Consider the following 13,355-nt stretch of genomic DNA (forward strand, 5'->3'; position numbering starts at 1 on the left):
CAACTGAAAGGGTTGACTTGCAATCATTGAAACAAGAAAGGATGCAGGGAGAGCAGATTTGGGGTGGGATTGGATTAGGAGTTCTGTTTGGAATGCATCAAATGTGAGGTGAAGAAGTTCAGGAAATGCCACCTGAAAGCTGATGCTTTGGTGTGCCGATTACTTTTAACTGAGGGCATTTGGGGAGCAGCAGATGCAGGCAGAGGCTTTCTCTGAGCTCCCCTTATCTGCCTAAGGACAGATCCTCCAAAAGGAATTCAATTGTCATGAATTCCTTCCCCAGGAATCTCATCAACCAGGGAAGAACACAGGAAAGGAGATAAGATTGACACCAGCACTGACAGACCATCACTTACTCCTCTCAGGCAACGTTTATTACCTGAGAGACGTTTAACAAGACAACATTTATTTGCCACTCATTTCCTCCCCTCACCCTCCCATAACTTGTTCCGCTACCACCCCCCAGAAGTTCCAAGTCCCTATTCCTTTCTGTAGCTGAGGATGCTATACAAGCTTCAATCACTTAACCTCTCAAGTCTCATATTTTGTGGGACTCCCATGTCCCACATAATTAATGTATTAATTAATTAATACATAATTAAACGTAGTTTTTCTCCTGCTATTCTGTCTTATGTCAATTTAATTCATAGCCCAGCCAAGGAGCCTAGAAAAGTAGTGTCTACCAGAGAATTGGTGAGTAGAGAGGTCAAGCAAGAATAAGCAAACACCTAGAGGGCATTTGGGCTGCAGAGATGAAGTTTTTAGTAGAGACAGGGTTTCACCATGTTGGCCAGGCTAGTTTCCAACTCCTGACCTCAAGTGCTCCGCCCACCTAGGCCTCCCAAAGTGCTAGGATTATAGGCGTGAGCCACCACACTCACCCTAAAATAATTTCTTAATAACTCCTACCACACTAGCATTCAGTCCATTGCAAGAAGATATTTGAAACTTAGAGACTGGGTGAGGTCACCTAGGAAGTATATATAGATAAAGAGAAACCAATCTGAGTCCTGGGGTGCTCCAACATTTACCACCTCCACGGCTATCACCCAGGCCCAAAACATCCTCAACTACATTTCAGCAGCCTCCTAACCAGCCTCCCTGGTTCCACACTTGCCCATCTCCATTTATCTCCACACAGCAGGCATAGTGGTCCCATCAAAATCAGATCCCACCACTCCTCTGCTCAAACCCTGCAAGGGGCATGCAGATGTGGTACATCCATATAACAAGATCATATTTGTCAATAAAAAGAACTCGGGTACGGATACATGTTCCAATGTGGATGAACCCTGAAGATATTATCCTGCATAAAATAAGCCAGTCACAGAAGACCCTATATCCTGTGGTCCATTTACGTGATATGACCAGCATAAGCAAATCTGCAGACAGAAAGTACATTGATGGTTGTCAAGGGTTAGGGGAGAGAGGAATGGGGTGTGACTGTTAATAGGGATGAAGTTTCTGAAATTACACAATTCTATGAATATACTAACAACCACTGAATGGTACACTGGCCATGAGTGAATTTATGGTACATGAATTCTATCTCCATAAAGTAGTCCCGCCTTATCCACAGGGATTACATTCCAAGACCGCCAGTGGATTCCTGAAACTGTGGATAGCACCAAACCTGATTGCCATTAGTCAGAACGTGGAACATGTTTCTGTTCATGTCTTCTACCCACAAATTTAATGCTTTTTCCATCTTAACTAAGCACTTGTCATACATCATGGTCATAGCTTTTGCAGTTTGAATTGCGACAGCAAAACTAGTAGGAATTTCTTTTTCCTGATTCACAATTTCACAGTTTCACAGATAGAACATTCGTTCTTTTTCTTTCTTTTCTCTTTTCTTTTCTTTTTTTTTTTTTTTGAGATGGAGTCTCGCTCTGTCACCCAGGCTGGAGTGCAATGGTGCAGTCTCGGCTCACTGCAACCTCCACCTCCCGGGTTCAAGTGATTCTCCTACTTCAGCCTCCTGAGTAGCTGGCATTACCGGTGCGTGCCACCATGCCTAGCTAGTTTTTGTATTTTTAGTAGAGACAGGGTTTCACCATGTTGGCCAGGATGGTCTCAATCTCTTGAACTCGTGATCTGCCACCTCGGCCTCCCAAAGTGCTGGGATTACAGGCTTGAAGAAGGTTCATTCTTACTGTAGAACTTAACAACGTCAGCAGATGTTTTTTTTTCCGTCATTGAGAACTTTCACCTTTTCACTTGAAGGAAGCACTTTATGACTTCTCTTTGGCATATCTGAATTGCCAGCACTGCCACTCTTGCACCCAGGGGCCATTACTAAGTAAAATAAGGGTTCCTTGAACACATGCACTGCAATGCTGCCACAGTGGATTTGATAACTGAGTCAGCTACTAAGTGGCTAAGAGGTGCAATTTAAAATATGAATTATTTCTGGAATTTTCCATTTTATGTTTTTGGACCACAGTTGATGGCTGGTAACTCAAGCTGGTAACTTTTGGAAAGCAAAATTGTCAATAAGGGGAGGGACCACTGTAGAGCTATTTTAAAACTCTGCCCTGGCTCCCCCTACTATGCAGACAGAAGCATCATCATTCAAAGCCTCACATTCTACCGACGCTCTCTCCCCAATCTCTGATCTTCACTTCTCCTACTGTCCCCCTCCTGGCTCCTCCTGCCCCAGCCACTGTAGCCTCCTTGTTGTGCCTCAAACATGCACACTACAGACGCAAATCTTTGCACCTGCTCCTCCTTCTCCCTCCATTTATCTATGTCATTACTATGACATATGTCACTACTTTACCTCTCTCAAGTCATCATCCAAACATCACCCTGTCACTTGCCAAAGCGGCCCTCCTGGCAGCCCACATCTGCCCATGGTGGTGGTATACGCTCCCCAATCACTTTCTTGCTTCATGTTTCTTCATTATCCTTCTGATTATTTAGGCCACTAGATACTTATTCATTTTGTCTATTACCTGCAACACCAACTAGAAGGTAACTTGCACAAGGGTGGGAATTTTCACTGGATGTATTCATTGTCGAATCCACAGGACCTAGAACAGAGGCCAGCACCCAGAAGGCACTCAATAGACATCTATCTTCAGTGGTTATGTGGTTATTTCTGTGCACTGTCTTATGGGCAACCAGATTTCTTTTCTGAGGTTGTTTGTTGTTTGGGGAGATTTTGGGGCCTTGCAAGTTTTGTACAATGAATATACATTACTTAGATAGTCAGGAAAAAATGTTATATAAGGGGGAAAAGTCCTACCACTGCTGCCACTGCCTGTGGGATGCAATCCTGAACTCCTTAGCAGGCGCTGGCTTTTCCAAAGTCAAAGCTCTTCCTCCCCTCCCTTTCCACTGCCCTAGGTCAAAATGAATCCAGTGGAGTCCTGGTTCCCCGAGATGAAAGTAGATGTTCTCTGAAACAAAAAGAGAGAATTCCCTGTGCTTAAAAATGGTTAAACAGGTTTTGTCGTGTTTGGTTTGGTTTGCTAAGAGCCTGCAGTAAGCTTTGCACATCGTGGAACTCTAAGAAGGCCACATAGTGGGATACCCACCCTGACATATTTGACCCCAGAACCTCCTCTTTTACTGGCTCATCTCCAAGGACTCGAGTTCCAAGGAACAAGTCCCAGGGACGTCGCCCCCATCAGACAGGACACTTGGCTGTGCAGCAGCCCAAGCTCCTGGAATCCTCTCCCCTCCTCCACCTGTAGAAACTCTACCCATGCTTCACAAGACAGTCCTGCTTGTGCCCTATCTAGGAATCCTTCTCTACTCTCAGCCCCTCATTCCCCTGTGTTTCTACAGAACATCACATCTATGATGAAAGCTCTTATCATGGTCATTGCTCCAGCTGTCATCAACAGCTGTCATCAACTGGTGTCTTCAACACCAGACTGCAAGCCCCTCGGGTGCAGCAATGGGGCCTCCTCCACATGGGTTTCCCAAGGGCATGGTGTGATGCTGGGCTCTGGGAATGTTTATGCCCCAGAACTGCCACTTTGGAGGCAGGTGGGCCTCCCTTCTTGGGGTGAGCAGCCCAGCAAGCAGGCCGGCGAGGAGCTTCATGCAGCATCCTTTCCGCTTCCCCTTCTCAGTATCTCTGCCTAGGGACAGAAAGTCCCTGGAAACCTAGGGGTGAGGATCTTGGGTGTCTTTTTCTTAGCTGTTCTCTTTATCTTTGGAATTTCTTTAAAAGGCTGTTTTTTAATTTAATTTTTTATTTTTATTTTCATTTTTATTTTTTTTTGAGACGGAGTCTCACTCTGTCATCCAGGCTGGAGTGCAGTGGCACAATCTTGGCTCACTGCAAGCTCCGCCTCCTGGGTTCACGCCATTCTCCTGCCTCAGCCTCCCGTGTAGCTGGGACTACAGGCGCCCGCCACCATGCCCAGCTAATTTTTTTGTATTTTTTTTAAAGACAGGGTCTCGTTCTGTTGCCCAGGCTGGAGTGCAGTGGCACAATCACAGCTCACTCTAGCTAATTAGAAAAAAAAAATTGTAGAGGAGGGGGTCTCACTGTGCTGCCCACGTTGGTCTCAAAATCCTGGCCTCAAGCCATCCTCCTGCCTCAGTCTCCCAAAGCACTGACATTACAGGAGTGAACCACTGCATCCAGCCAAAAGGCTGTGTTTAAATCAGAGGACCCGGTATCTGGAATTAACCTGGCCTGGCTATGATGGTGTCATATTGAGTCTGGCATCTTCTGTTAACTTACTGGTTGGCAAAGGAGCTGTTTGGAAAATAAAAACTGCCTTCTCTGTGGGAAGAGGGTCGATCTGCTGTGGGGGTTGGGGGGAGTGGAAAGCACCTTAGATTGAGAGTCAGGAAGCTCACATTTGAGTTTTAACAATGTCACTAACATTATAAAGGTTTAGGGCAATCACCTAACTCTTCCAAAACTCTAGTTCCTTAATTCTAAAGTGGAAGAATTTTAGGGATCCTTCACAGCTCTAAGACTAAAGATCAACTTAAAAAGAATAACCCTTGGGGTATCTATTTGCAGAGAACTGTCTTTCTTTTTCCTTTTCTTTTTTTTTTTTTTTTTTTTTGAGATGGAGTCTCGCTCTATCGCCAGGCTGAAGTGTAGTTGCGCAATCTCAGCTCACTGCAAGCTCCGCCTCCCGGGTTCACGCCATTCTCCTGCCTCAGCCTCCTGAGTAGCTAGGACTACAGGTGCCCGCCACCACGCCCGGCTAATTTTTGTATTTTTAGTAGAGACAGGGTTTCACCATGTTGGCCAGGGTGATCTCGATCTCTTGACCTCGTGATCCACCCGCCTCAGCCTCCCAAAATGCTGGGATTACAGACGTGAGCCACGGTGCCGGGCCTGCAGAGAACTGTCTTTCAAAACGTTCTAGTGACCACATAGTACAGTCTCACACAGGGAGGCTCCGTGGCCTCCACCACCAGCCAGCAACGTCAGAGGGGATTGTTCACGCCCTTGCTAGTGTCTTCCAAGATGGTCCTTTGAGAGGTTTGTAGTAAGTTTGTAGAATACTGGTGAGTCGGTCAGGGACAGCTTGAGTATGATTCGCAACCCCCAAAACCACCTCCCTATGGGCAAACCGTATCCACAGAGCACATTCATAAGCCTGATTTAAAATACTCGCTCCTTGTGCCTCAGCCATTACTCTCTTTCTGTCCAGGTCTCTTATTCTGACTTAGTGGAAAATAAGGTTGTTACAGCAATGGCTCCATTCGTCCTGTGGGCAAGAAACTCATGGAGAGAATTAGTCAATTCTTCCTGGACATTCGGGAGCTTCTGGGTGGAGGGAAGACTGCGAAGCAGAAACAAACAGAAATCCTAGAGAGGCAGTCATCTGAGCATTCGTCACAGGGGCACTCCTAGGATCCACCCTCAGAAGCCGTGAAAGGCCCATTGATCTGGCTGGGGCAGGGAGTGGCCCTGAGCTGGTGACATCTCAGGCGAGGAAAGGCACAGATGTCTGTGCTGGCTGTGATAAGAGGCTTCTCAGGAAATCTGAGTCACCTCGGGCCGGCTCTTCGAAGCATAGAGGCCCAGCAAGCACCACAGCCTGGAGGCAAAGCTTCCTGCTAGCCCTGGGACCCTGGGACTTTGCATTTCCTGTTGGTGTCCTTTGACTTGGGCAGCCACCACCCCTGGGAAGTTTTCCAACACCCTCACTCATGCATTTTGAACCTGGTGTTCACAGCTCTTTGTCTCTGCTCATCTCGCTTTTGTTTCCTCTGGAATGTTCCAAGCCCCCTGCATCACCCCATGCCAGGAATCTGACATCCCAGAGTGGAAGCCGGCTTCATGTTACTCACCCCACCCTGTGATTTCCTGATGGAGGATCCGGAGACCTGAACTCTGGTCCAGGTTTACAGACAACTCATAATCATGGTTGAGGCCCCTTTCTAGGCCTTACTGTTCTCATACTTTTAACTGGGGATGGGGGCAGGATGGGAAACTTTTGGAAAAACAGACTTTTTAAAACTGGAATGATGCTAGACATTTATTTGCTACTACCTGCTGGCTGCTGCCTGTCATTTCATCATTACATAGAAAAGAAATGCTCCAACATTTTGTCATGCATTTACTCCTTGGTATAAGGGAAGGATTCAAGAAACGTCTTATGGAAGCAAAAATAACAGTAAATTATGCAAAGGCACTGGTTCCCTTCAGGGGCTGGAGTAAGACTGGTGAGAGTCGTGGGAAGGGAAGAAGCACAGAGAGAAGATTCCACTTCACGCATATTTTTTAGGGTTTGGCCTAAATAAAAGGACTTTCAGAGATTATAAGAGAATATTTGTGTTTAAAAAAAACACGTTAGATAAATTTAATAGAGTTAATTGAGCAAAAAATTATTCAAGAATTAGACAGACTCAGCACACCCACAGTGACTCTGGTGCATGGTCGGAGAGGATTTATAGACAGAAAAAGAAAGTGATCTACAGAAAACAGAAACAGCTAGGCTGCTTACGGCTCCGTGTCTGCCTGATTTGAACACAGTTTGAGCAGTTGATCGCCTGTGATTAGCTGACACTCAGCTGCTCTGATGGGCTGACACTGGGCTAGTGGCTACAAGCCTCGGTTACAGTCTCTGTACACATCCAGTTAGGTTATCATCTGCACAGCGGAATGTTTAGGTGGAACTTAAAATATGTAAGGAGGCAGCTTGGGCTAAACTTGTTAACATTTGCTAGAGAAAAAAAAAAACATCTGGGAGTCAACCAATCCATCTTTGATTTCTCAACTATGGAGACCACCACCTTGAGCATCTTCTCTAAGGTCCCGTAGCCAGGAGTAATACCTGGTATCTTGACTTCATAGCCCATGACATTGGACAAGCCTCTCAACCTCTCAGGTCTCAATTTCCTCAATTGTCAAACAAGGATGACAGTAGGATTGTGGGGAACTAATGAGTATATTTACTCGATTTTGAAACAGTAGGTGTGCAATAGATGTTACATTGCCATCATCATCATCGTCATCATCATCATCGTCATCATCGTCATCATCATCATCATCATCTCACTATCACTACAGCTGCTGTTCCTGCCACCCAGGTCTCCCAGCAGCAGGTTGTCCCCTAGAACCACACCCAAACCATCCTCCTAACCAATGCTGTGCACCCTTCAGTAAGACTTTTCAAAAATGGACATAAAACAAAATAGTTCTTAAATGAGCCTACTTCTATTTTTCACATCCCCATTTCCCCAAGACGTACCTGTGCTCCAGATGGAAAACCATCAATTACAATCCTGCTCCTTCTGCGGCAGGGCAATGGGGAGTCACCCAAAGGAGCAGCGATGCTCAAGCCCCCCACAGAAGGACCCCCAGACTCCCAAAGAGAAATGGACGTGAACGTGGGTGAAGTCTTGGGCTGATCAGAGAGCAAGCAGGGCCAAGGGACATGAAGACAGGTGTGTTCTTAGAGACTGGTCACAGGAAGGAGCAGACTACCTGCCCCCTGCCCCCTAGTCCAAGCCTGGTTCTAGGTTAGAAGCGAATCAGCTGGAAGAGGAACAGCTGCTGAACAGAAAGCACAGCCTTGTGCCCTCCCAGAGAGCAAGGCATGGCATGCACAGCCTGCCCCAGGCTGCTGCCAGGGCCACCGCGGGGGGTCAGCTTCCATTGCTGAGCTGTGCTACGCCCTGGGAGCACCAATCTTTGTCAAAAGAATGGATTTGTGCAGCTAAACCCCACAGGGCCTGGCCATTGTGGACCTGTCTGTCTGCATTTCAACTCTGGGCTTCACTCTTTGGTGAATGTGAATCTCCAGCGGCACAGGCAGCCAGAACAGAAACGCCACGCAGTCTCACCCTGTCATGCCAAGAGCTTTGTCCGCTTTGGGACAGAGCCCTGTGCTGGGAGTCCATTGGGGAGACTCACAGGGATCCAGAAACCTGCTCCTGCCCTCAGGGAGCCTGCTGTGTAGCCTGGAGAAGGAACTCATAGGCATTTGCAGTACTGTCTATCTTGGGGTCTGTCATTCTCATCTAAATTAATGTTAACAGCACTAACTTAGCCTTTCTTACATGGGTGTGAAAACCACCAACATTCCTGGTATTAGGAGGTGGGCCTTCAGGAGGTCATTGGGTCATGAGGCTGGAGCTTGATGAAGGGGATTAGTGCCCTTATAAGGGGATAAAGAGACCAGAGCAAGTGTGCTTGCTCACTCCCCTTCTCTCCCTCCCTCCCTCTCTCTCCCATCCTCCTGCTCTCTCTCCCCTACTCCTCCCTTTCTCCCTCACCCACCCCCTCTTCCTCTTTTCCTTCCTCTCTCCCTCCCTCTCTCCCTCCCCCTCTCCCTCTCTCTCTCCCTCTCTTCCTCTTTCCCTCCCTCCCTTCCTCTCTCTCTCCCTCCCTCCCTTCCTTTCTCACTCCCTCTTCTCTCCCTCCCTCCTCTCTCTCTCCCTCCCTTCCTCTCTCTCTCTCCCTCTGCAGATGCCTGGCCATCTGCAAGCCAGGCAGAGGGCCTTCACCAGACACTGATCTCTGCCTTCCCATCTTTCAGAACTGCAAGAAATGAATGTCTGTTGTTTAACCCACATCTTGTTACAGCAGCCCACACTGGGCAAGATAGTGCTATCCAAAGAAAAGGTAACAAGTCCAATTATTCACTACATTTTCACATATTTGAAAAGCGTATGCAAACAGTGTGTTCCCAGTAGTCCTTTTTTTTTTTTTTTCTGGAGACAGAGTCTCGCTCACGCCTGTAATCCCAGCACTTTGGGAGGCTGAGGAGGGCGGATCACGAGGTCAGGAGATCGAGACCATTCTGGCTAACATGTTGAAACCCCATCTCTACTAAAAATACAGAGTGGTGGTGGGCGCCTGTAGTCCCAGCTACTCGGGAGGCTGAGGCAGGAGAATGGCGTGAACCCAGGAGGCGGAGCTTGCAGTGAGCCGAGATCATGCCACTGCACTCCAGCCTGGGCAACAGAGCAAGACTCCGTCTCCAAAAAAAAAAAAAAAAGAAAAGAAAAGAAAAGAAAAGAAAGAAATTATATTAAACCACTCCCTGGGAAGTCAATTAATTTTCTGTAGAACAAGTGCAAAATAATACTTACCAAGAAAAAAGCTCATTAATTTGGTCACTAAGAGAAGAAACCAAAATATAGACACATCTTCTAAATTATACCCAAGTAGCAAAAACAGTACACACTGTTTGTAAGATGCTGGAAAAAGAGACTCCATGATAAATGTTGAGCTTAGCATAAAGCAGTTGGCTTTTATTCTAATTTATTAATAGGCAAATTCCTTTATCAGATGATATTGTTGGATACTATAATATCAGTAATACCACGTATAAGAGCACTTACTACTGACAGTGACTGCAGATGTTTTCATCTGTAATTTGTCTAAGCCAGTGCTTCTCAACAGGGGTCAATTTTGCCCCCCAGGGGACATCTGGCTAAATCTAGAAGTATTTTTCATTGTTACAGCTGAGGAGGAAGAGGGACAAGAGAGTGCTACTGGTGTCTGTGTGTCAAAGCCAGGAAATCTGCTAAAATCCTACAGTGAAAAAGCCAACCCCCAAAAAGAATTTTCTGACCCAAAATGTCAGTGGTGCTGAAGTTGAGAAACTCTGATCTCAACCACTAATACACAGAACATGAACCAGCTGTATGAGGAGAGACAGAGGAGGGGATGGGGGGGGTGGAGGAGAGGAGGAGGGAAAATGATAAATGAAGGTCTTGAAGACTTTTTGTTCTTTTAAAATTGATGCTGTAGAAGAAGAGATGTTGTTGTAGCTAAGATAATGATTACTTTCTGATTCATGAAGCTCAGAAGGCATCTTGCCCTCCATATGATGAAAAGCTAGATATTGGTACAGCCTGCTTGATTAGCAGAGGTTAGGCCAACAACTGACTGTCGAAATAAATCATGAAAACTGGGGATATGGTCACATTGTGGTCACTGAAAGTTCATCTTTTAAACTTCTCTTGCGAAGAAATGAGCCCAAGTTCACGATTCTCCTTTCCCACTCAGAAGAATGCAGTCACTCAAAGGGAAAAGTACTTACTTGGGGTTTTGAAAGGAGAACTCAAGTTAATTTTTTTTTCTTGATGAAAGCTATGTCAGGAAAGGCCATTTTTACCACTTCAAGTTAGCTTAACGTGGGTGATATATCACATTGATATTTTGAAGATGGATTTTTCAAGGCAAAAGCAACATTCCCACTGGGAGGGAATGGAGTTCAGAGGTGGGCTTGCTGCCATTTGGGGGCTCTCTTATCCACCTCCTAACTTCGTGCTTTGTAGTTAACCTTGTGAGAGAGAGCAGGGGGCAGGAGGCCTTCTAACAAAGCTTAACTGTGTTAAAATAATTAATTGGGAGGCTATCAGGCTGAGGCAGCTGCAGCATCTTGGGTTCCTACGTAAGCAAATCAGAACCCAACTCAATGCAAGCAGTGAAATAAAACGTAAGCCTAACCAATCAGAAACAGCCAACTAACCTCTATCTAGGGACTCTCCACTTTAACCAATCAAATATTTTCTTTGTCTTGCTTTCTTAAACACTTTATGAAAGGTTCTCCTGAAGCCGCTGCTGTGTAGCACCCAAACACCTGTCATCCAGTGCTGCCCAGTTCATGAACTGCTGAATGCTCAAATAACGGTGTTAACATTTTAATGCGCCTGAGTTTATCTTTTAACAACTCTTTTGCTTCCCCTTCATCTTTCTCTCCTCCATAAGAAGCTTCTAATCTCAAGTGATAATATTTCAACCCCACAATGGGAAAGAGACCAGCCACCAGGAGAGTGGAGTAGACAATCCTGCATGGGGTATCCAGGCTTCTGAGCCTGAAGTAACTTCATAGAGTCCCACACACCCTTCAGGGTTAGGGAGCAGCCACATGTTTGTTCTCCCATGTAGCACAGAGGGGAGCAGGGATGGAGCTGAGAGCCAGCAGACCTGATGTGTGAAGGCCAGGATGCCAAAGCAGATACAGTGGGGACCACATGACTCAAGACCAGACAGGGATAAGGACACATCACTGGGTACCAGTGCAGACCTATTACATCCCTATGACTGACATCTCTCACCACTACCCCACTCCACCCCTGCCCCACTGTTAGATAATGGGTGTCCGAACTCAGATACCTTTCCTGAAGGACACTGGGAGGTGGAAGAATTCTAGACTTAAATTTAAGAAAGAAACACAGAAAATTCTTGAAGTGACTGAGTTCTCAATTGGTAAGACTGTGCTTTCTGGTATTAAGTGAAACTGAACCTCAGGATTGAGACTCTAGTCTCTAGCAATGATAGTAATACTATAATGATTATAATAAACAAAGCTTCCTTTCTTGCAAAGCCAAGTTACAAGGCTTGAAAATGGGAGCCAACCCCCACCCACCCTACACACCAAATTTGTGCAGAAATGTAGAGGCTGAAAATAAAATGTGGATTTTTATTCTATAGATGGGGCAAACAAAGCTCAAGTGCGTAAATACTTACCCTGGAGTCACCAACATCAGACGATTAAAAACCAAAACCTGAGGACAGCTATTTTTGCCTTGGCTTTCATTCTAACTACCATACAAGCACGTGCTCAATGACTATGCAAGAAGTGCTTTGGCCTCAGAGACATTTGGAGAGCACCGAGAACAAACATCTGTAATTTAGAACGTTTCCTTGGAACAGATCATTTGAGCGTTGGGGTCTTCAGAAGCACTAGAAGTTCCTTTACAGAAACCAGGGTGAAGGCAGGAACTGGAAAGAGGAGGTGGTTAAAAGAAGCTGGAGTTCTGAGAAGCCTGTGGATCCTTTTCAATAGAAGAAAATAAGCAGTTTCAGACAAGTTCTATCTTGAAATTTCCATACAGATGCAAGTTCCCAGAAAGCAGCAAGTTAATCCCAACAAGTGATAGCTATAGTCAAAGCAAGTCTTTTTCTCCTGGCAAGGGGGAGAGGGCGTAACTACACAATTCCCATCATTTTTAAAGCCATCCTTTAAAGCTTACCCCAAAATTATACACACACCCCACTCACATAAATCAACTACAGAGCTCATCAAACCTTAGAACTGAGAAGTGTTTCCAAAATTATCCAGTCTAGGGACCTCATTCTGCAGATAAGGACTCAGACACCCAAAGACAGTGTGCCCCACCCATTGTTACCAAGTCAGTTAGAATTGAAAATAAAACTCTGGTCTTCTAATTCCTAGTGCAGACCACTTTTATCCATTGCTATCATTCTAAAAAAAAAAAAAAACAAAAAACAAAAAAACAAAAAAAAACTGGTGATGCTGTTTGTTTGTCCAGTACTGACTTTCTCCAATATGACAGCAGGACACAGCAAGGAAATAAAACATAACAGTGTAATTGGAAAGAGGTAAGTGGACAAGAGACTTCAGTCAGGTGGGCACTGGCCCCTGAGTGAGGAATTAAGTTGGTTCCAATAGTCTGGAGCAGTGGTTTCCAAATGTTTTGATCACAAGTCATTAAAAAGTTTGGGCATTAAACTTTTTAATGACGTGATCAAAACATTTGGAAACCACTATATATAAAAACATATATATATGTGTGTGTGTGTATACATATATATATATAGAGAGAGAGAGAGAGAGAAACATAGCAAAAGATAGGGAATTTTAAAAGATGATATTTTTAAAATAAATTTTAATAGAAGTTGACATGATACAGGTGAATCTCTATAACAAATATATCTCCCAAATTTCAGTGGCTTGACAGAATAAAGTTTCTTTCTTTCTCATGTTGGGTTTGGTAGAGAGGGCGTTGGCCCCTTGCATTCATTTGAGGATGCAGGATCTTTCCATCTCATGGCCCTTTCATCCTCTAAGGCCTTGGAATCCTCTTCTTTTAACCAAAGAATGGAGAAAGAGAGGAAGACTTGAGGCCTGCATGGTGCAAGGGGACTTAAGACCTAGACCTGG

At 45.3% G+C, this 13,355-nt stretch overlaps 1 protein-coding gene across 2 annotated transcripts in view, besides 2 other annotated features; it reads right to left on the minus strand.

Moving 5' to 3' along the window:
- The window catches only part of TVP23C-CDRT4 (TVP23C-CDRT4 readthrough), a 127,469-nt gene that overhangs the window by 48,916 nt on the left and 65,198 nt on the right, over positions 1-13,355 (minus strand). The gene's annotated exons all lie outside the window — the stretch shown is intronic.
- Positions 5,416-6,615: an enhancer, noted in NCBI's record as "MED14-independent group 3 enhancer chr17:15393660-15394859 (GRCh37/hg19 assembly coordinates)". NCBI's record gives its function as "activates an origin of replication core promoter dependent on BRD2, BRD4, P300/CBP and CDK7 cofactors, and independent of MED14, by STARR-seq in HCT116 cells {active_cell/tissue: HCT116}" and the evidence as "EXISTENCE:reporter gene assay evidence [ECO:0000049][PMID:35650434]".
- Positions 5,905-6,199: an enhancer, noted in NCBI's record as "tiled region #550; K562 Activating non-DNase unmatched - State 5:Enh". NCBI's record gives its function as "activates a minimal TATA promoter and a strong SV40 promoter by Sharpr-MPRA in K562 cells {active_cell/tissue: K562}" and the evidence as "EXISTENCE:reporter gene assay evidence [ECO:0000049][PMID:27701403]".

This window comes from Homo sapiens, chromosome 17 (assembly GCF_000001405.40).
Source record: "Homo sapiens chromosome 17, GRCh38.p14 Primary Assembly".
NCBI classification, from domain to species: Eukaryota; Metazoa; Chordata; class Mammalia; order Primates; family Hominidae; genus Homo; species Homo sapiens.